Genomic DNA, 22490 nt, shown 5'->3' with positions numbered 1-22490 from the left:
AATAAAACTTGAGATATATCCATAAACAAAATGTATGGACCTTAGATCCTATAAAACATCCAATCTTTTATTCATGCAAACAGACATTTGTGTAACAAATTATGTAAGAGGCAATCAGGGAAAGCAGAACACTGACCCATAACTGGGAAGTATTAATAGTAAACTCTTAAGTTTGTAATGGCTCTTATTGGTCCTTATGTTTTGTTTTTAAAGAAATTATTTTAGGAACAGGGTCTCACTACGTTGTCTAGGCTGGAGTGCAGTGGCTTTTCTTTCTAGGCTGGAGTGCAGTGGCGCGATCTTGGCTCTGCACTGCAGCCTGCCTCTGGGGTTCACGCGAGCTTCGCCTCTGGGGTTCACACCATTCTCTGCAAGCTTCACCTCTGGGGTTCATGCCATTCTCCTGCCTCAGCCTCCTGAGTAGCTGGGACTACAGGCGCCCGCCACCACGCCCAGCTAATTTTTTGTATTTTTAGTAGAGACGGGATTTCACCATGTTAGCCAGGATGGTCTCGATCTCCTGACCTTGTGTTCCGCCCATCTCAGCCTCCCAAAGTGCTGGGATTACAGGCGTGAGCCACCGCATCCGGCCACTGCAGTGGCTTTTCACAGGCACAATTGTAGTGCACTGCAGCCTGAGCTGAAGGGATCCTCCTGCCTCAGCCTCCTGCCATGTGCCATCACACCTGGTTTTGTTTTCTTTTGAGACAGGTTCTTGCTCTGTTGCCCATGCTGGAGGACAGTGGTGCCATCATGGCTCACTGCAACCTCCGGCCTCCCAAGTTTGAGCAATTCTCCTCCCTCAGCCTCCCTAGTAGATGGGATTACGGATGTGCGCCACCATGCCTGGCTAAGTTTTGTATTTTCAGTAAAGACGGGGTTTTGCCATGTTGGCCAGGCTGGTCCCAAACTCCTGGCCTCAAGTGATCCGCCCGCCTCAGCCTTCCAAAGTGCTAGGATTACAGGTGTGAGCCACTGCACCCAGCCACACCTGGCTAATTTAAAAAAAAAAATTGTTCTTTTTTGGTAGAGATGGGGTGGGGATCTCACTGTGCTGCCCAGGCTGCTTTCCAACTCCTGGGTTCAAGTGATTCTCCTGCCTTGGCTTCCCAAAGTGCTGGGATTACAGGTGTGAGCTACAACACCTGGCCTTATATTTTACAGTCACATACTATTAATAAAATATTGAAAGATGAAGTGGTACAGTACCTGGGATTTGCTTCAAAATGCCAGCCCTGAGGCTGGGTAATGAGTACACGAAGATGTGTAATACTAGTTTTGAATATGCTGAAATTTTCTGGCTGCGTGTGGTGCCTCATGCCTGTAATCCCAGCACTTTGGCAGGCCACAGTGGGAGGACTGCTAGAGCTTAGAAGTTCAAAACCAGTCTAGGTAACATGGCAAGAACCTGTCTCTACAAAAAATTAAAAAGTTAGCCAGGCATGGAGGCACACATCTGTAGTCCCAGCTACTCAGGAGGCTGAGGTAGGAGGATTGTGTGAGCCTGGAAGGTAAAAGCTGTAATGGGCCATGACTGCACCACTGCACTCCAGCCTGGGTGACAGAGCTACTAGACCTTGTCTCAAAAAGAAAAAAAAAAAAAAAAAAAATCCCATGATTAGTTCTTACAATTCTACAAATCAAAAGCTTTTAAAGCAATACTGCCAGATGTGATCCAACATCCAAAAATAAGGTAACCATTAGTTAATGTTAAAAATGAAACCACACACAAAAAATTAAATGCCCAGGTTTCCATCTTAGAAACACCGTCTGGTCACGCCTGCTTAGGAAACACTCCCCTGCTGTCCTCTGAAGCAGGGGCTTTGTCTCACACTTCAGCTGTGGCTGGGACATCTCCCCTCAGACAGGTCTGATGGGCATCGGGCATCAGGCATCATAAACTTGCTGCAGCCACAATGGCCCCAGATTATTTCCTTGGCCTTCCCTGCTCATGTCTATAGTGCCACCACCATCCAGGTGCTAGAATACCTGAGATCATCCTAGGCCCCGCTCCCCCTCAGCCCCGCCCGCACCATGCACCCTGAGCCTGCACGTCCTCCAGATTCTGCAGCCTCCATACCACCCGTCATCACTGCCTCTCCCTTTGGCTGCCCTGCTTCCAGGTACATGTCCCAGCCGTCCCCACAGCTCTCAGAACATCTCGCAAATGTGTAATTAGATCTCTTTATTCCCCTACTTAAAATCTGTCACCAGTTTCTCATTGTCCCTAACACGAAATCCAATGCTTTCCATGACCTACGTGATTCTAAGCTCTGAGCCTTCCGCTCTGCCTGCAGAGCTGGGGCCTTCTTGTCATTCCAGTTTCAGCTTAAATGTCACCTTTTCAGAGGACATCCTCTCCCCACCCAACCCCTACACCCGCCATGGCCCCAGGTTCATCTCTGCCGGCCCATATGACTCATTTGCTCTGGTGTGTTTACTCAGGCACCTGTTTACCCTCGTTTATGGCCGGCTTATTTATGGCTGGCTTCCAGGAACACAAGCTCCAGGAAGCGGTGGCCAAGAAAGTAGTGGTCTTTCTTGCCCATGAAAATATTACTGGAGCAGAGGAGGCGCTCCACAGCCAGCCACTGGACACAGCTGAGCCACAAGCCCACCTCCTACCCAGCAGCTCCAGGTTCCCCGCAGACCCCCCCCAGAGAAAAACCTTGAGAACCCAGCACAGTGGACACTGCAGGGCATCCAGGTGGCACTTGGACACTCTGGGCACTGGGCTTGAGCTGACAGGAAGCTCCCAGGGTTGCAGTGGCTCCCACAGCCCTACAAGACCTATCTGCCCTCGGCTGGCTCTACTCGGCTGGCTCTACTCGGGGTTCTTTCTCTCCTCTCCCTTGGGAGGTGTTTGCTGGCCCCAGGGACAGAGCATCTTAGAGGACAAAGGGCTACTATCCTGTACTCAGGTAAAAGGCCAGTGTCTTTGCCGTGACAGTGTTTTAACCCCATGTCCCACAACCTGAGCAGGATGCAGTCATCACAGCCCAGTGCACTGCCCTTGGTCTGCGCCCCAGCCTGGTTGCGCCATCCCTCATGAATTAATTTCTGTTTATAATAAAGAAAGTGTTAACCCAGGATGGGAAATTTCTCAGATCACCACACATCAGAATCACAAAGACTTACAACAGCTGCACAGTCACGCTCAGCAGGCAGCAGGCAGCAGACCGCCCCTTCCCCAACCCGGCCTGCTATGGAATGTCAGCACTCGCCTTCTGCCTTCCACGAGGTGTGGGCCTGAACCACGGCATGTTGGCTCAGCCTCCGCCGGCTGCCCCGTCCCTCCCCACACGCTCCCAGTGCTGCCGCTTTCTGCATTCTGCTTTGAGGAGAGATGCAAATGAAAAGAAGTTTGTCTAAAAAGCCACTTTCTCACCAGGGAGGTTAGCACACCCGCAGCCTGAGTCCCTGAGGACAATGAGAACTCATATTCCCAATGAGGATTTAAACAAAGCCACAAGGCGAACTGCAACTGGACTCCAGTGTGCTGATGTTTCCAACAAGGGTCGCAATGAAAAGTAATCCCCCAATTCCGAAGCCACCTCGGTCTCTCCCAAGTACAAAGGCCTTCTCAGCAGGGCCCCCTCCCTGTCCAAGGCTAGGGGGCCACAGAAAGGAAAAGGGAGGGCGCCCTCAGGGTCCAGGAAAAGGACACACAGTGTAAAGTGGGCTGGTTGTGGTGGTAGTTGCAAGGGATTTTCTTTTTACTTTTTTTTTTCTTTTAAAGAAATGAGACAGGGTCTCTCACTCTGTCACCCAGGCTGGAGTGCAGTGGCACAATCTTGGCTCACTGGAGCCTCCCAGGCTCAAGTGATCTTCCTGCCTCAACCTCCCAAGAAGCTGGGACCGACCACAGGCATGCGCCACCAGGCCTGGCTAATTTTTTGTATTTTTTGTAGAGATGGAGTTTTGCCATGTTGCCCAGGCTGGTCTCGAACTCCTAAGCCCAAGTGATCCGCCTGCCTTGGCCTCCCAAAGTGCTGGGATTACAGGCGTGAGCCACCATGCCAAGCCCCACTATGTATTTTCTATTGACCTTTCTTCTAGAGCACTAATCCTTTTTTCAGCTGATTCCAATCTGCTGGTAAATACACCTACTGGATTTTTTATTTCTTTTTTTTTTTTTGAGATGGAGTCTCGCTCTGTCGCCCAGGCTGGAGTGCAGTGGCACATTCATAGCTCACTGCAGCCTCCACCTCCTAGGTGCTAGCAATACTCCCTCCTCAGTCTCTCAAGTAGCTGGGACCACAGGCATGTGCCACCATCCCCGGCTAATTTTGTAAAATCTTTATGTTTTTGAGACCCAGTGTCACTCTGTTGCCCAGGCTGGAGTGCAGGGGTGCAATCTTGGCTCACTGCAACCTCTGCCTCCCAGATTCAAGCGATTATCCTGCCTCAGCATCCTGAGTAGCTGGGATTACAGGTACCCGCCACCACACCTGGCTAATTTTTGTATTTTTAGTAGAGAGAAGGTTTTACCATGTTGGCCAGGCTGGTCTTGGACCCCTGACCTCAAGTGGTCTGCCTGCCTTGGCCTCCCAAGGTGCTGCGATTACAGGTGTCAGCCACTGCACCCGGCCTAATTTTAAAAAATTTTTAGTAGAGACAAGGTCTTGCTGTGTTGCCCAGGCTGGTCTCAAACTCTTCACCTCAGCTTCCCAAAGTGCTGGGATTACAGGTGTGAGCTACTGCACCTGGCTGAATTTTAAATTTCAGTTATTGTGCTTTTCTGTTTTAGAACTTCCATTATATTTTTTATGAATTCCAATTCTATGAAACAATCCATCATCTTATCTCTATTATTTAAAATAGCTGTGCTTGGCCGGGCACGGTGGCTGACGCCTATAATGCCAGCACTTTGGGAGGCCGAGGCAGGCAAATCACATCCTGGCTAACACGGTGAAACCCCATCTCTACTAAAAATACAAAAAAATTAGCCGGGCATGATGGCGGGCGCCTGTAGTCCCAGCTACTGGGAGGCTGAGGCAGGAGAATGGCGTGAACCCGGATGGCAGAGCTTGCAGTGAGCCGAGATCGCGCCACTGCACTCCAGCCTGGGCCACAGAGCGAGACTCCATCTCAAAATAAATAAATAAATAAAATAATAAAATAAAAAAATAAAACAGATGTGATTAACATACTAAAGTCCATGTCCAAAAACCGTATCTCAGTCTCCTGTGGGTCTGTCACCTTTCTTCCCCTGGTCCCCTTTCCCAGTGTACCTGGTTGCCTTCAACTGAGTGTCAGGGACTGTGCGTGACAGAAGGGCGGAGGGTCTGGACATGTCCCCCGACAGGGACAGCTCACCCACTCCGCTCCGTGGTGGGCAGCAGTGAGACAGTGAATCAGGAACTCCACCCACACTAAGCTCCTCTGCAGTCTTTGGAAAGAACAGCCCAGCTGTGGCTTGTCCCGGCGAGGCAGGGTTGGTCCCAGATGAGAGCCTGGGATATTTCTTAGGGCCCTGCACCTGACAGGCCCCAACCTATTCCCTAACTCCACGAAACTGCCAAAAATCCCACTCTGCTTTTCAGCCACTTTCTGCTCCTCTGCCCTAAGCAGCTTCATCAGCAAATGGCTAGAGAGACCAGTGCCTAATGTCCGTCTCTCTTCTCTGGCTCCTTCGCTCAGGGGTCTTGGCCCCTCAGGTCCAGCCGCCTCGGCAGCCCTGAGCCCCTATCTTGGTCTCCCAGCCCCAGGATATTTCCTGCAGCTCTCTGGCTCCTCTGCCTCTCAGCAGCCGCCCATGCCCAGCTTCTCAGCATCCCGCCCAGCCAGTGCCCCAGGGAGAAGAGCCTGTGCGGGAGCAGGAAGTGGGGCTCACCTCCCCAAGCTTCCCTGTGTTGTGCTGCTGGGCGGCTCTCCAGGCCTTCAAGCTGGGGCCTTCTGAACGGTGGCCGGCTCCTCGGGTCCTGGGCAGGAGTGCTTCCCCGTGAGCTCTTCCACACCAGACGCAGAGCCTGCGGAACCTGGAATGAGTCATTGAAAAGGGGAGGGGCTGAGGACACGGACTGATAACCAGCCAGGCTGGTCCAACTAGCACGGCCACAAGGACAGCTTCCAGCCACAGATGTCCCATCCAGAGATGTGCCCGACAATGACAGTCCCCCAGGGACACAAGGCCGTTTCCCTCTGCCCAGCCAAGCATCCTCTAGGACAGAAGACCTCTGCATCCTCATTCCTCTATTCCTCTATTCCTCACCACGAATCACATCTCACTCACACTGTAGTTACCCTCTCCTGTTAGATGCGAGCCCCACGAGAGCTGGGCTCAGCCGGCAGCACCGAGAGCAGGGCCTGGGCCGTGGCAGGTGCTCACGGAGAACATGCTGGATGAAAGGTGTGTCAGAGGGGGCCTTCTGCTCTGGAGCCACAGTTTAAGAGCTCCACTCTCTCCGGCTGCTGGTTGCCCCTACTCAGTGTGAGCCCAACCAAGGCCTCTCTGAGGAAGGAGGGAGGGGACAGGCTTCTGTCCCATTTGGACTCTTCAGCCTCCACATCCCATGGCCTGGCAGGATGGTGGAGTAACTACGGGTGACACAGGAGTGCCCAAGGATGGCTCCTAATGGGAGGGCATGGCAGTCTGTGGACTAAGGCATCTGTCAGAGCAGTGCTCAGAAGATGATGCTGCCAGATAGCAGAGAACTCAGAACCATTCCACGCAAAGAGGCCCCAAGCAAAAGGCTGAGAGCTGTTGGGCAACAGATCCTGAGGGGCTGACGTGGGCCTGTCTCCACGGCCAGGAGGGGCTCCCACCCCGAGCCCAGCAGGAACTCTGTGCTAGTCTGCACTAGTCCACAGTCCTGGGGCCACTGCCAGTGCCATGATGCAGCCCCCACGACACAGCCACCACCATGGCTATAGCCAGACCCTCGGGTCTGAGGCCAAGGCCAAGGCAGTGCTGTATTTCTTCCAACTCTGCCCACTCCTTTCCTGGGTGGGACGGCTGGGAAGGCTGGTTCCACAGTTCTCCCCAGGTCCCTGTGAGCCACTGGTCCCCGGCCCCTGCTCTCCTTCCAGCCCCCAGGCACCCTGAACTGTAGGGTGCAGGACACTGAGGCAATGTGGGCCTCCCAGTGGGCAGCCCCACCCAGGGTGTGGGAGGCCATGGGCCCCAAGCTCCCCTGGGGACTTCTCCCACTGCCCCACCCTCAGGAAGCCATGAGCTGTCACCTTCTCTGTAACCAAATTCTTCTCTGGGGGCCGCGACACGTGCAGAAAGCACTTCGTGTTTTCTGAGGGCACCTGTGGGGCTGAACTACATGGAGAAGCCATTTCACAGGGAAGGAGTCATACAAAAGAGGCCTTCCCACAGGGATGGCCTCCAGGACAGATGCTGCCCAAGCCTGTGGTCGGTGGAAGATGCTGTCCCTCACCCTGCCCCAGACTCCCCACCAGCCACTGAGGGGCTCCCCAGAGGGCCTGCCTGTGCTGGGCCCTTGAGCGGGGGCAGACAGAGGCTCTGCCTCCATTCTCCCTCCAAGGTCCCAGCCCTGTGAACAGGAAAGCACCCCAGGAGGAGAGCAGGCAAGGCGTCTACAAGCCTCAGCCTCCCCAGGAATCGCAGGGCTCTGGGGAGCGGCACTGGTTCTCACCTCTCACTACGTAAATGCGTCCACTCACCTTGCCAAGGCGGCTTCCTAAGCTCCTCCCCTGTGGCCCACATGGAGGGGTGGCTGCTGGTCAGGGCCACGCCCCCCACAGCGTGGAGCTGCAGCAGGGCCATGCTGGCCACCACTAGCCACCCTGCCACAGCTGCAGCTGTGGATGGGGCCTCACGCAGGAGCAGCAACAGCACCTGGGGGCTGGGGATGAGTCTAGCTTGGTGCTGATCCACCCAAATCCAGAGTGACCACATCCGAGTGGCCCTGTTGGGCCTGCTCCCCACTGTCCAAAGTCCACTGGAGTCACGGTGGAGCCATCGAGACAGGACAGTGGCTCTGCCCTTGAGAGCTCATGGGTGACGGGCTCCTGTCCTCGCTTGAGCCCATGAGGAGGTGCTGATCTTCGGAGGTGCCTGGGCCCAGGAGTGACAGCCACAGGAAGCTAGTGACATGCAACTTGCTGGGGAGGCCACTACCCAGGCTGGCGCTGTACCACTCAGCAAGCTTTTGCCATCTTGCTGTTCCCATTCATATTGTGGTCACTAAAAGAAGGAAAAGGGGAGTGTTACTCATGCCCATCAGCTCACCCAGCACCACCTATTCTGAAACTTCAGCAAACTCCTGACAGGCTGTTTTGTTTGTTCTCTGTTTATATACTCATGTAGGATGCAGCAACAGGGAACCCTGAACACCTGGAAAACTGGACAACATACTTTTGCCTTCAGTTGGTGGAAAACAGTGCAGGACAGTGATTCCAAGATAAGGGAGACAAGAGAGCACATCCTATGACTGCACCAATTACAGCCAGGAGGCGGGTTCCAGGCTGCAGCGCAGGCAGGGAAACTCAGCCGGAACCTGCAGTCTTTCTGAGTTGGGAAGACAGAGTTCAGAGCTCAGGGAGGCCAAGGCTGCTGCTATTTGCAGGGCAGAGTCCTGGGGAGGAGGCAGCTGCAGAGGCAGAGCCAGGATCTGCAGAGGGTCTCCTGGAGTCTTTAGCTGAAAACAGATCTGTGCCTGGGTGAGAAAAACTATATGAGAAGGCCCAGGAAAGACTCCTGAGGAAGTAGCAAACAAAACAATCCCCAGAGTTCACACAGGGAATATTTTGTGTTCCCACAAGCCACCGTGGAGAGATCTCCTAATTCGTGGGGTATTGGGTAGACTCCGCAGAAGGCCATCACCCTTAGTAATAGAGCTAAGTCAACTGCAGACTAAAGCAGCACTGGACCCACTGAAAAGTTCAGAAGTCTCTAAAGGATCGCTGCTTCCAAGGGACTTAACTGCATTCCAGACCCAAACCCAACATTATTCAAAGGAATTCAACAAAATTCACCAGCCAATAATTTATTTCATTTTTTGCAGAGACAGGGTCTCACTATGTTGCCCAGGCTGGTCTTGAACTCCTGAGCTCAAATGATCCACCTGCCTCAGCCTCCCAAAGTGCTGGGATTACAGGCATGAGCCACCACACCGGGCCTGGCCAACAATTTGAAATTCACAATATTCAGCATCCAATTTAAAAAATAACCGGGCCTATCAGTCAGGGTCCCACCAGGGGACAGAAACCACATGGTAGCTTAAACAAGGGAAGTTTAGCATAAGAATTATTAACTATTTACAGGGAGTTGACTAAGAGGGAACAAAAGAGAAATCCACAGAACATCCTAGAGTAAAGGGAGGTAACTAAGGGAAGGATTCAGACCTAGGAGAGGGTGTGATCAAAAGCACGCACTAGATGATGACGTCGACTGGGCTGTCCCAGGACAGAACTGAGGGCCAAGAACCACGTGCGAGGACGCTAACACAGTGAGCTGGAAGGCTGCTTGAGGAGTGCTGGAAAGCCGGGGGGTTGGTGTGGGGGTGCTGTTGAACTCACCAGAAAGCTGCCAGGCGGCTAGCTGGGGTGCTATGGGACCTGCCTGAAAGCTGCCTGAGCACCCTATATGTCCCACATACCAGCTCATGTCACAGACAGCTGTAAGCAAAGCACAAAGAACCAAGAAATGCCCTTTCCTCTCAACGCTTTCCACTGACAAAGACCAGCATGGGGCAAGGGAGAAATGTTCCAGTATCACAAGTGGCAATGAAGGGTGGATTTAGAGTTGAGACGCAATAAACTGATAACTGCTATAACAGACATGCAAGAAAGAGAGGAAAATATGACCTATAACCATACACAGTCAATAGAAACTGACCTAGAAACGACAGAGATAAAGGAACTAGCAGACAAGGACAATAGTTCGGCATATATTTAAGAAGGTAAAGGGAAACATGAGCATGATGAGAACACGGAAGATATAGAAAGATCCAAATGGAACTTCCAGAGACAGTAAAAACAAAACCTGAAATGAAAAGATGCACTGGATGGGATTAACACCAAATAAACACTGAAAGAGAAAAGATCCATGAATTTGAAGACATAGCAATTGAAACTACTCAAATAAGGCAGAGAGAAAAAATTATTGGACACTATCAAGCTGTCTAATGTGCACATAATTGGAAGTCCTAGAAGAAAAACAAAGAGGAGACAGAAATATTTGAAGAAATAAGCAAAATTTCCCAAATATGATGAAAACTGTCAATTCACACATCCAAGAAAGTCAATAAAACCCAAACAGAGGCCGGGCGTGGTGGCTCACGCCTGTAATCCCAGCACTTTGGGAGGCCGAGGCAGGCGGATCACGAGGTCAGGAGAACAAGACCATCCTGGCTAACACGGTGAAACACCGTCTCTACTAAAAAATACAAAAAATTAGCTGAGTGTGGTGGCGGGCGCCTGTAGTCCCAGCTACTCGGGAGGCTGAGGCAGGAGAATGGCGTGAACCCTGGAGGCGGAGCTTGCAGTGAGCCAAGATTGCGCCACTGTACTCCAGCCTGGGCAATGGAGCGAGACTCCGCCTCAAAAAAAAGAAAAACCCAAACAAAATAAACCTGAAGAAGACTGCACCAAGACACATCATAATCAAGTTGTAGAAAACCAGTGTTAAATTAAAAAGTCTTAAAAGCAGTTAAGCTAAAAAGCATATTATGTACTGATAAATATAGGTAAGAATGACATGATACTTCTGCTGTAAGCGGAAAGACAAAGAAGTAACATCTTTAAAGTACTGGGAAAAACACACACACACACACACACACACACACACACACACTCACAAAAACTGGTCAACTGGAATTATTTTTATCTACCAAAAATATCATTAAAAAATGAAGGCAAAGGACTTTCATTCTTCAGTGAGGCATGTCAGGAGCTTAGAAGTTGTCACTACCATCCTTACAAGAAACAACACTGAACTGGCAAACAACCCCTTTTAGCTGCATCAGAGAACTGAAGTTACAGGGCAAATGACTGCCCCCGACACAGGAGACATGTCAACAGGGTGAACTGGAGCTTACCTGAGCAGGAGCCCAGGAGTGGAAACGAGGGTAGGAAAATTTACACAGCAATTCATGAACTGCTGGAGACTCAATGTGGACTTTACCTCCATGAGCCCTACCAGACTCTCACAGTCAAGATCAGAGAAAGATCCTCTCATACTTCTGGCGGGGGAGGGGGAAAGCAGCCATGTGGACTATGTCTAGAGCTTCCTGTTCTTAACAAGGCCTGTCCTCAAAGGAAACTATTTTACAAGAGCCTAACTTAATTAGGTTTTATAAGATCCTCATCAGCCTAAGGGAAAGGTTGACCCAACTTAAGCACCCCTAAGCCTTCCACAGGCAGGAAAGAAAGGGCCTAACTCCAGCCCCCTCTCCCTTCCTGTTTCACCTAAGGAGGCAAAAACCCCAAACTGAGAAGTGCTGGTAAAAGTCACAGGCCAGGGGCACAGGCTCACAAAAAGACTGAGACCTAGTCACAGGACTTAGGACACTTCCCCTCCTTCCCACCACATAAATAGGGCTCCTATATAATAACAAGAGAATAGAACGGAAAAACCTGCATATCTCAGACTTTATTTAAGAAGTCTCTACGGAAACCCAAGGAAGGAAAAACAGACCCAGGAGGAAATTTTAGTTCTGACACCTATAGTTACAGCAAACAGCAGACAGAGCCTAACGCCTAGCCAGATAAACTAAAAAACTCACACCAAAGGCTGATTTTCCTCAGTTACTTCCTTTTCTTTTCTTTTTTTTTTGAGATGGAGTCTCATTCTGTCACCCAGGCAGGAGTGCACTGGCTCAATCTCTACTGACTGCAACCTCTGCCTCCTGGGTTCAAGCGATTCTCCTGCCTCAGCCTCCCAAGTAGCTGGGATTACAGGCGCCTGCCACCATGCCCAGCTAACTTTTGTATTTTTAGTAGAGACAGGCTTTCGCCATGTTGATCAGGCTGGTCTCGAACTCCTGACCTCAAGTGATCAGCCTGCGTTGGCCTCCCGAAGTGCTGGGATTACAGGCATGAGCCACTGTGCCTGGCCTGTTTTTTTTTCTTTTTTTCCCCAGACAGAGTCTCACTCTGTTGCCCAGGCTGGAGTACTGTGGCATGATCTTGGCTCACTGCAACCTGCACCTCCCGGGTTCAAGCAATTCTCGTGCCTCAGCCTCCTGAGTAGCTGGGATTACGGGCGTGTGCCACCATGCCCAGTTAGTTTTTCTATTTTTAGTAGAGACGGGGTCTCTACGTTGCCCAGGCTGGTCTTGAACTCCTGGGCTCAAGCGATCCTCCCCGCTCAGCCTCCCAAAGTGTTGGGATTACAGGCGTGAGCCACCATGCCCGGCCTCCTCAGTTCCTTTTAACAAGTACATCAAGTCCGGTTTTCAACAAAAAAATTACAAGGCATACTACGATTAAAAAGCAGACTTTGAAGAGATATAGCAAGCATCAAACCCAGACTCAGAAATAGCAGAGATGTTAGAATTATCACAGCTAACAACTCTGATTTAAAACAACTATGATTAATATGCTAAGGGCTCTAATGGAAAAAGTAGATGATATGCTAAAACAGATGGGTAATTTCAGCAGAGATAAAGACTCAAAGAATCAAAAGGAAATGCTAGAAACAAAAAAAACTAAGAAAAGTGAAGAATGCCTTTGATGGATTCATCGATTAGATACAGTCAAAGGAAAGAATCAATGAGCTTGAAAAAAAATGTCAGTAGCAACTTCCCAAACTGAAACTCAGAGAGAAAAGAATGAACAAGATGGAACAGAATATCCAAGAACTGTGGGACAATTAGAAAGGCATAAATATGCATAATGGGAATCCAGAAGATGATGACAGGCAGAAATGAGCAGAAAAAGTATCTGAAACAATAATGAACTGAGAATTTTCCAAAACTGATGACAGATGCCAAACACAGTTCTGGGGAGCTCACAGAATACCAGGTAGGATAAATAGCAAAAAACAAAAACAGAACAAAACTACATGTAAGCATACAATAAACTACAGAAAATCAAAGACAAAGAGAAAATCTTGAGAGAAGCCACAGGGAAATAAATTCCTTTCCTATAAAGGAGTAAGGATAAGAATTACATCACACTTCTTTGAGAAATTATTCAAGGGAAAACAGTAGAGGGAATATTTATAGTGTTGTAAGGAAAAAAAAAAAACCCTATTAACCTAAAAATCTGTATCCAGTAAAATTACCCTTCAAAAGAGAAGAGACTTTCTCAGAAGAATAAAAATTAACAGAATCTGTCATCAGTAGACCTGCCTTGCAAAAAATATTAAGAAGTGTTTGAGAAAGAAGGAAAATAATACAGGTCAGAAATAAAGACCTATAAAGGAAGAGCATTAGAGAATAAATAAGTGAAGGCAAAATATTTTACTTTTCTTACTTTTTTTTTTTTTTTTTTTTTTTGAGACAGAGTCTGGCTCTGTCACCCAGGCTGGGGTGCAATGGTGCGATCTTGGCTCACTGCAACCTCTGCCTCCCAGGTTCAAGCAATTCTCCTGCCTCAGCCTCCTGAGTAGCTGGGATTATAGGCACACGCCACCACGCACAGCTAATTTTTTTATTTTTAGTAGAGATGGGGTTTCACCATGTTGGCCAGGCTGGTCTTGAACTCCTGACCTCAAGCGATCCATCTGCCTCAGCCTCCCAAAGTGCTGGGATTACAGGCAAAAGCCACCACGCCCGGTCTACTTTTCTTATTTTTAACTTATTTTTAACAGTTTGTTCAAGGTAATAACAGCAACAGCTAGGCATGGTGGTGCATGCCTCTAGACCCAGTTACTCAAGAGGCTGAGGCAGGATAGCTTTAGTCCAGGAGTTCTGGGCTATTTGGACTGAGTGTCTGCACTAAGTTTGGCATCAAAATGGTGACCTCCCCTCCTTAAGGACCACCAGGTTGCCTAAGGAGGGGTGAATAAGCCCAGGTCAGAAATGAAGCAGGTCAAAACTCCTGTACTGATCAGTCATGGGATTGCACTTGTGAATAGCCACTGCACTCTAGCCTGGGCCACATAGTAACACTCTGACTCTATTATTAATATTTTTAAAAGCTGGGTACAATGGCTCACACCTGTTAATCCCAACACTTTGGGAGGCTGAGGCGGGAGGACTTCTTAAGACCAGGAGTTCAAGATCAGCCTGGGCAACATAGCGAGACCCTGTCTCTACTAGAAATTAAAAAAAAAAATTATCTAGGCATGGTGGTGCACACCTGTCGTCTCAGCTACTTGAGGGGCTGAAGCAGGAGGATCATTTGAGCCCTGGAGTTCAAGGGTGTGGTGTGCTATGATCGCACCACTATATTCCAGCCTGGACGACAGACCAAGACCCTGTCTCGGCCAGGCACAGTGGCTCATGCCTGTAATCCCAGCACTTTGGGAGGCCGAGGTGGGCAGATCACGAGGTCAGGAGTTCGAGACCAGCCTGGCTAATACAGTGAAACCCCATCTCTACTAAAACTACAAAAAATGAGCCGGGCATGGTGGCGGGCACCTGTAGTCCCAGCTACTCAGGAGGCTGAGGCAGGAGAATGGTGCAAACCTGGGAGGTGGAGCTTCCAGTGAGCCCAGATTGCGCCACTGCACTCCAGCCTGGGTGACAGAGCGAAACTCTGTCTCAAAAAACAAACAAACAAACAAAAAAACCCTGTCTCGACAACAAAAACAAAAACAAACCCGCAACAATGTATTCAATGATTGGGTCAATAATCATCCTTACTGTCCCTTATGATATTGCTGTCAATAATTTCACTTATGGCCAGGTGCGGTGGTTCACGCCTGTAATCCCAGCACTTTGGGAGGCCGAGACGGGCGGATCACGAGGTCAGGAGATCGAGACCATCCTGGCCAACATGGTGAAACCCCGCCTCTACTAAAAATACAAAAAAACTTAGCCAGGCGTGGTGGTGGGCACCTGTAGCCCCAGCTACTTGGGAGGCTGAGGTAGGAGAATGGTGTGAATCCGGAATCCAGAGCTTGCAGTGAGCCGAGATCGAGCCACCGCACTTCAGCCTGGGCGACAGAGCGAGACTCGGTCTTAAAAAAATAATAATAAAAATAATAATTTCGCTTTTGAATAAGTGAAATTAATGACAGCAATATCATAAGGGACAGTAAGGATGAACTGAGAATACTCTGTTAGAGGGAACTTGTACAACCCATGAAGTGGTATAGCATCAGGTGAAAGTGGAATTGGATTAGTTGTAACTGTAAATACCAAACTCAAGGGCAAAGACTTTTTTTTTTTTTTTTCTCTTGAGATGGAGTCTCGCTCTTGTCAACCAGGCTAGAGTGCAATGGCGCCATCTCGGCTCACTGCAACCTCCACCTCTCGGGTTCAAGCCATTCTCCTGCCTCAGCCTCCCGAGTAGCTGGGATTACAGGCGTCCACCACCACGCCCGGCTAATTTTTTGTATTTTTAGTAGAGATGGGGTTTCACCATGTTAGCAAGGCTGGTCTCAAACTCCTGACCTCAGGTGATCCACCCACCTTGGCCTCCCAAAGTGCTGGGATTACAGGCATGGGCCACTGCGCCCAGCCAAGACTTTTTAAAAGTATATAATAAGAAGCATAATTGGCATGCTAAGAGAGGAAAAAATGTAATCATATAAAATGTTCAATTAAAGCCAGAGAAAGCAGAAAAAGAGTGGAAGACCAAAATAAAAAGAAAAGGGAAGAATAAAAGCAACAGAAAACAGTAATAAATATGGCAGATATTAATCTAACTGTACCAATAATCACTTTAAATGTCAATGTTCTAAATACATCAAATAAGTAATAGAGAATGTCAGAATATATTCAAAAATAAGACCCAAGCATGTGTTGGGTCAAAAATGAACAGAAATAAAGACTTTCTCAGAAGAACAAAAATTAAGGGAATTTGTCATCAGTAAATCCACCTTGCAAAAAATGTTAAAAGAAGACCCAGGAAACTCACTTTAAATATAAAAACATAGGTAGATTACAATTAAAGAGATGAGGCTGGGCACAGTTGCTCACTCCTGTAATACCAGCACTTTGGGAGTCTGAGGCGGGCGGATCACCTGAGGTCAGGATTTCAAGACCAGCCTGGACAACATGGTAAAACCCCGTCTTTACTAAAAATACAAAAATTACCCAGGCATGGTGGCAGATGCCTGTAATCTCAGCTACTTAGGAGGCTGAGGCAGGAGAATTGCTTGAACCCAGGAGTTGGAGGTTGCAGGGAGCTGAGATCAAGCTACTGCACTCCAGCCTGGGCAACAAGAGTGAAACTCTCGTCTTTAAAAAAAAAAAAAAGAGAGAAAAAATTAAAGAGATGGAAAAAGACATAGCAGGAATCAAAAAGAAAGTCCCAGTGGCTATACTAATTTCAGGCAGAGCAGACTTCAGAGCAAGGAAAATTATCAGGGATAGAAAAAGGACATTACAAAATTATAAAGGAGTATTTCTCTAAGATGAGGTAACAAACCTTATGTGTATACGCCTAACAACAGAGCATCAAAATCCTCAAAGCAAAAACTAAGAACTGCAAGGAAAAGCAGATGAATTCACTATTATAGTTGGAAACTTCAACATCAATCTATCAAAGTGGACAGATCCAGCAGGCAGAAAATCAGTAAGGACATAATGAACTCAACAGCACCATCAAGCAACCAGACAGAATTGACATCTATAGAGCACTTCATCCAACAGCAGCAGGATACACATTCCTCTAAAGCTCACATGGAACATTCACCAAGATAGATCACATTCGGGTCCATAAAACACGCCTTAGCAGACTAATGCATTTAAACAATTATGAGTTTATGTTTTGGGACACACAGTATATAATAATGTAATTTTGTGACAACTGAAAGGGGTGGAGATGAAGCTATAAAGAAGCAGAATTTTTGCATGTTACTGAAATTACGCTGCTATAAATTCAAATTACAATGTTACACAAAATAAAATGAGAAAATAGTTAAACATGTTACTACAAAAAGAAAAAAGAAAACCTACAAAACTCCAGCTAAACACAAAAGAAGACAATAATGCAGGTAATTAGAGATTTTAAAATCCATGGCCGGGTACAGTGGCTCATGCCTGTAATCTCAGCACTTTGGGAGGCCGAGGTGGGTGGATCACCTGAGGTCAGGAGTTCAAGACCAGCCTGCCCAACACGGCAAAACCCCATCTCTACTAAAAACACAAAAATTAGCCGGGCATGGTAGTGCGTGCTTATAATCCCACTACTAGGGGGCTGAGGCAGGACGATCCCTTGAACCTGGGAGGTAGAGGTTGCAGTGACCTGAGATCATGCCACTGCACTCCAGCCTGGGCAACAGAGCGAGACTCCGTCTCAATTTAAAAACAAAACAAAACAAAAAAACCTATAAGGTGGCTGGGCACAGTGGCTCACACCTGTAATCTCAGCACTTTGGGAGGCCGAGGCAGGTGGATCACCTGAGGTTAGTAGTTCGAGACCAGCCTGACCAATATGGTGAAACCCTTTCTCTACTAAAAATACAAAAATTAGCTGGGTGTGGTGGGGGGCACTTGTAGTCCCAGCTACTAGGGAGGCTGAGGCAGGAAAATTCCTTGAATCTGGGAGGCAGAGGTTGGTTGCAGTGAGTCAAGATTGCCACTGCACTCCAGTCTGGGCAACAGACCAAGACTCTGTCTCAAAAACAAAACCAACAAAAAAACCCAAAAAATTAGCTGGGTGTGATGGCATGCGCCTGTAGTCCCAGCTACTTGGGAAGCTGAGGCAGGAGAATCGCTTGAACTCAGGAGGCGGAGGTTGCAGTGAGCCAAGATTGCACCACTGCACTCCAGCCTGGGTGACAGCAAAACTCCATCTCTAAAAAAATAAATAAATAAAATCCTATAAGGTATATAGAAAAGAAACAGCAAAATGACATAAGTCTTTCCTGATCAGTAACTAAGTGTAAATTGATTAAACTCTCCAATCAGAAGACAGAGATTGGCAACGTGGAAAAAAACTACATTACCCAATTATATGCCATCTATAAGAAACTTACTTTTTTATTTTTACTTTTATTTTTAGAGAGACAGGGTCTCTCTATGTTGCTCAGGCTAGATTTGAACTCCTGGGCTTAAGCAATCCTCCTGCCTCATCCTCCCAAGTAACTGGGACTACAAAAAAGAATCACTTTAGATCCAAAGACACAACTAGATTGAAAGTCAAAGGATGGAAAAACATATTCCATGCAAACACTAACCAAAAGAGAGCAGGGCTCTATTACTATAAGACAAAAGAGACTTTAAATTTAAAAAAAAGATTAAAAAAGGACATTATATAAAGGTTCAATACAGCAAGAAGATAAAATTATAAACAGATTACAACTAATAACAGACCATCAAAATATATAAAGCAAAACTGACAGAATTGAAGGGAGAAATAGCCAGAAACAGTGGCTCATGCCCGTAATCCCAGACTTTGGGAGACTGAGGTGGGCAGATGTCTGAGCTTTGGAGTTCAAGGCCAACCTGGGCAACATGGAGAAAACCTGTCTCTACAAAAAAGTACAAAAATTAGCCAGGTGTGGTGGCGTGTGCCTGTGGTCCCAGCTACTTGGGGCGCCAAGGTGGGAAGATCGTTTTGAGCCTGGGAGGTCGAGGCTGCAGCGAGCTGTGATCACGCAACTGCACTCCAGTCTGGGTAACAAAGTGAGACCCCGTCTCAAAAACAACAACAACAAAAACAACAAAAAACAAAACAACAACAAACACACACACACACACACACAACAAAAAACAAACAAGGGCTGGGCGTGGTGGCTCACGCCTGCAAGCCAGCACTTTGGGAGGCCGAGGTGGGCAGATCACCTGCGGTTAGGATTTTGAGACCAGTCTGGCCAACATGGTAAAATCTCATCTCCACTAAAATAAAAATACAAAAATTAGCCGCGCATGGTGGCGGGTGCCTGTAGCCCCAGCTACTTGGGAGGCTGAAGCAGGAGAATCGCTTGAACCCAGGAAGCAGAGGTTGCAGTGAGCCAAGATTGTGCCACTACACTCCAGCCTGGATAACAGAGCAAGACTCTGTTTTAAAAACAAAAAAACAAATTAAAAAACCCCTACCAAGACTAAATCACAAACAGAAAAGCTGAAGAGACCTGTAACTAGTAAGCAGATTTAATCAGTAATCAAAAATCTCCTAAGAAAAGTCCTGGACCTGAAGGCTTCACTGATTAATTCTACCAAACATTTAAACAACAACTAGTAGTACCAACCCTTCTCAAAACTTTTCCAAAAAAGTGGAGAGTAAGAAATACTTCCTAAATCATTCTAACAGGCCAGTATTACCCTCATATCAGAACCAGGCATTCAATAAAATAAAACCACAGACTAATATCCCTTATGCACAATGATGCAAAAATCCTCTACAAATACTAGCAAACTGAATTCAGTAGCATTTTAGAAGGATTATACACCACAAACAAGTGGGATTTACTCCTGAAATGCATGGATGGTCCAACCTACAAAATTCAATGTAACATACCACATTAATGGAATAATGGGAAACATATCACATCATCTCAATTGCTGCAGCAAAGGCATGTGACAAAATGTAACACCCTCTCAAAATGAAAACATTCAACAAACTAAACGTACAAGGGAAATATCTCAACATAAAGCCATATTTGAAAAACCTACATTGTTAAACCCGAGAAAGCTTATTACAATTTTTTTTTTTTTTTTTTTTTTTGAGACTTAGTCTTGCTCTGTCGCCCAGGCTGGAGTGCAGTGGCGCAATCTCGGCTCACTGCAACCTCCGCCTCCAGGGTTTAAGCAATTCTTCTGCCTCAGCTTCCCAAGTAGCTGGGATTACAGGCGCCCACCATCACACCCGGCAAATGTTTGTATTTTTAGTAGAGACAGGGTTTCACTATGTTGGCCAGGCTAGTCTCAAACTCCTGACCTCAAGTGATCCGCCCGCCTCGGCTTCCCAAAGTGCTGGGATTACCGGCGTGAGCCACTGCGCCCAGCCTAAAAGTTTTTAAAGAAAAAAAAAAAAACAGAGCCAGGCACGGTGGCTCACGCCTGTAATCCCAGCACTTTGGGAAGCTGAGGCGGGCGGATCACGAGGTCAGGAGATCGAGACCATCCTGGCTAACACGGTGAAACCCCGTCTCTACTAAAAATACAAAAAAATTAGCCGGGCGTGGTGGCGGGCGCCTATAGTCCCAGCTATTCGGGAGCCTGAGGCAGAAGAATGGCGTGAACCCGGGAGGCGGAGGTTTGCAATGAGCCGAGATTGCGCCACTGCACTCCAGCCTGGGCGACACAGCGAGATTCCATCTCAAAAAAAAAAGAAAGAAAAAAACAGAAATGCACATTGAATGAACATCATACTCAATAGTGAATGACTAAAAAATTTTCTTCTAAGATGAGAACATTCACCTTTACCACTACTATTTAACCTAGTACTGGAAGTTCTAGCCATAGCAATTAAGAAAAAAATATATATCCAAATTGGAAAGAAAAAAGTAAAATTAATTCACAGATTTAATATGATATGTAAAAAACTAGGCCTAAACATTACACACAAAAAATAATTACAATAACAGAATCAGCAAAGCAGCAGGATACAAAGTCAGCACACAAAAATCATTTGCATTTCTATATACTAACACTGAACAATTTGAAAAGGAAATTATAAAAACAATTCCACTTACAATAGCATTAAAAAGAATAAAATACCTAGGACTTTTAACCAAGGAGGTAAAAGATTCATACAATGAAAACTACAAAACATCGCTGAAAGAAATTAATGAAGATATAAGTAAGGAAAAACATCACACTTTCATGGGTTGGACGATATTGTTAAGACAAGATATCTTAATATTGTTAAGATGTCAATACTCCCAAAAGTGAGCTACTGATTCATATGTAAACTGAAGCAAAATCCCAATGACTTTTTTTTTTTTTTTTTTTTTTTTGCAGAAATAGAAAATACATGCTGAAATTCATATGGAATCTCCACGGACCCCAGATAGCCAACACCATGTTGAAAAAGAAAAACAGATTCAGGATTCACACTTCCTGATTTCAAAACTTACTAACAAACTGCAGTAATCACAACAATGTGGTACTGGCAGGAAGACAGACATACAGACTATTGGAATAGAGTTGACAGCCCAGAAATAAATCCTGGCATATATGGTCAAATGATTTTGACAAGGATGCCAAGACCATTCAACGGGGAAAAGATAGTCTTTTTAATAAATGTTGCTGAGAAAACTGGATATCCACATGCAAAAGAACATGGATATCATATCAAAGTCATAGGAAACAAAAGAAAACACAGACAAGCCAGGTGCACTGGCTCATGTAACACTTTGGGAGACTGAGGTGGAAGGATCACTTGAGCCCAGGAGTTCCAGACGGGCCTGAGCAACATAGTGAGGCCTTGTCTCTATAAAAAAATAAAAAATAAAATTACCCAGCCATGGTGGCACACACCCATAGTCCCATACTCGGGAGGCTTAGGTGGGAGGATGGCTTGAGCTAGAGTTCAATGCTGCAGTGAGCCGTGATCATGCCACTGCACTCCAGCCAGGGTGACAGAGCAAGACCACCCTGTCTAAAAAAAAAAAAAAAAGGATATGTCATGCAAACACTAATCAAAAGACAGCTGGACTGGCTATATTAATGTCAAACAAGCAAAGTAGACTTCATAGCAAAGAAAATTACCAGTGATAAAGAGGGCTGGGTGCAGTGGCTCACGCCTGTAGTCTCAGCACTTGGCCAACATGGGAGGATCACTTGAGGCTAGGAGTTTCAGACCAGCATGGGCAACATAGGGAGACCCTGTCTCTACCAAAAAAAAAAAAAAAATTTAAATAAGCATGGTGGCATGTGCCTGTGGTCCCAGCTCCTCAGAAGACGGAGGCAGGAGAATCACTGGAGCTCAGGAGTTCAAAGCTGCAGTGAGTTTTGATCACATCACCGTGCTCCAGCCTGGGTGACATAGCAAGACCCTGTCTCTAAAAAACATAAAATAAAATAAATAAAAGAGGGCTATTACATAATGATAAAAAAGGTCAATTCATCAAGACAGCATAATCCTAAGTGCATACGCATCTAACAAAAGAGATTCAAAATAAATGAAACAAAAACTGACAAATGAAGAACAGACAAATCCACTATCAGAGCTGGAGACTTCAACACTTCTCAATACATAGAACCAGTAGACAGAAAATCAGCAACCTGAACACCATCATCAACCAACTGGATCTAACTGACATCTAGAGGACACTCCACCTAACAACAGAGAAATATATAGTGTTTTCAAGTGTTCAAGCTTGGAGCACTCAAGATGGACTATATTCTAAGCCATAAAAGTCACAAAACAAATTTTTAAAAATTGAAATCATATAAAGTATGATCTCTGACCATAATGGAATTAAACTAGAAACCAGTAACAGAAAAATGAGGGAACTCTCCAAACACTTGATATTAAGCAACATACTTCTAAATAACCATGGCTCAAAC

At 46.8% G+C, this 22490-nt stretch overlaps 1 protein-coding gene across 9 annotated transcripts in view, besides 7 other annotated features; it reads right to left on the bottom strand.

The window, feature by feature from the left end:
* Positions 1 to 22490, bottom strand: part of DNASE1 (deoxyribonuclease 1) — a 53702-nt gene that overhangs the window by 16589 nt on the left and 14623 nt on the right. For all 9 annotated transcript variants that reach the window (XM_024450170.2, NM_001387140.1, XM_047433677.1 and 6 more), the window contains exons 2-3: positions 7636 to 8158; positions 5837 to 5981 (exon numbers count right to left, since the gene is read on the bottom strand). The gene's annotated coding sequence lies outside the window, so the exon portion shown is untranslated. The remainder of the gene's footprint in view (positions 1 to 5836; positions 5982 to 7635; positions 8159 to 22490) is intronic.
* Positions 2330 to 3083: an enhancer, noted in NCBI's record as "OCT4-NANOG-H3K27ac-H3K4me1 hESC enhancer chr16:3695791-3696544 (GRCh37/hg19 assembly coordinates)". NCBI's record gives its function as "activates a minimal SCP1, AML or CMV promoter by ChIP-STARR-seq in primed H9 embryonic stem cells {active_cell/tissue: H9 hESC(primed)}" and the evidence as "EXISTENCE:reporter gene assay evidence [ECO:0000049][PMID:30033119]".
* Positions 3084 to 3836: an enhancer, noted in NCBI's record as "OCT4-NANOG-H3K27ac-H3K4me1 hESC enhancer chr16:3695038-3695790 (GRCh37/hg19 assembly coordinates)". NCBI's record gives its function as "activates a minimal SCP1, AML or CMV promoter by ChIP-STARR-seq in naive and primed H9 embryonic stem cells {active_cell/tissue: H9 hESC(naive and primed)}" and the evidence as "EXISTENCE:reporter gene assay evidence [ECO:0000049][PMID:30033119]".
* Positions 3837 to 4590: an enhancer, noted in NCBI's record as "H3K27ac-H3K4me1 hESC enhancer chr16:3694284-3695037 (GRCh37/hg19 assembly coordinates)". NCBI's record gives its function as "activates a minimal SCP1, AML or CMV promoter by ChIP-STARR-seq in primed H9 embryonic stem cells {active_cell/tissue: H9 hESC(primed)}" and the evidence as "EXISTENCE:reporter gene assay evidence [ECO:0000049][PMID:30033119]".
* Positions 5745 to 6603: an enhancer, noted in NCBI's record as "H3K27ac-H3K4me1 hESC enhancer chr16:3692271-3693129 (GRCh37/hg19 assembly coordinates)". NCBI's record gives its function as "activates a minimal SCP1, AML or CMV promoter by ChIP-STARR-seq in naive and primed H9 embryonic stem cells {active_cell/tissue: H9 hESC(naive and primed)}" and the evidence as "EXISTENCE:reporter gene assay evidence [ECO:0000049][PMID:30033119]".
* Positions 6604 to 7461: an enhancer, noted in NCBI's record as "H3K27ac-H3K4me1 hESC enhancer chr16:3691413-3692270 (GRCh37/hg19 assembly coordinates)". NCBI's record gives its function as "activates a minimal SCP1, AML or CMV promoter by ChIP-STARR-seq in primed H9 embryonic stem cells {active_cell/tissue: H9 hESC(primed)}" and the evidence as "EXISTENCE:reporter gene assay evidence [ECO:0000049][PMID:30033119]".
* Positions 7462 to 8321: an enhancer, noted in NCBI's record as "H3K27ac-H3K4me1 hESC enhancer chr16:3690553-3691412 (GRCh37/hg19 assembly coordinates)". NCBI's record gives its function as "activates a minimal SCP1, AML or CMV promoter by ChIP-STARR-seq in naive H9 embryonic stem cells {active_cell/tissue: H9 hESC(naive)}" and the evidence as "EXISTENCE:reporter gene assay evidence [ECO:0000049][PMID:30033119]".
* Positions 11214 to 11263: an enhancer, noted in NCBI's record as "active region_10332". NCBI's record gives its function as "activates an Ori minimal core promoter by ATAC-STARR-seq in GM12878 lymphoblastoid cells {active_cell/tissue: GM12878}" and the evidence as "EXISTENCE:reporter gene assay evidence [ECO:0000049][PMID:35858748]".

Source organism: Homo sapiens, chromosome 16 (genome assembly GCF_000001405.40).
Source record: "Homo sapiens chromosome 16, GRCh38.p14 Primary Assembly".
NCBI lineage: Eukaryota > Metazoa > Chordata > Mammalia > Primates > Hominidae > Homo > Homo sapiens.
Note: the sequence above shows the minus strand (reverse complement) of the source record. Positions and strands in the feature narration are given on the sequence as shown.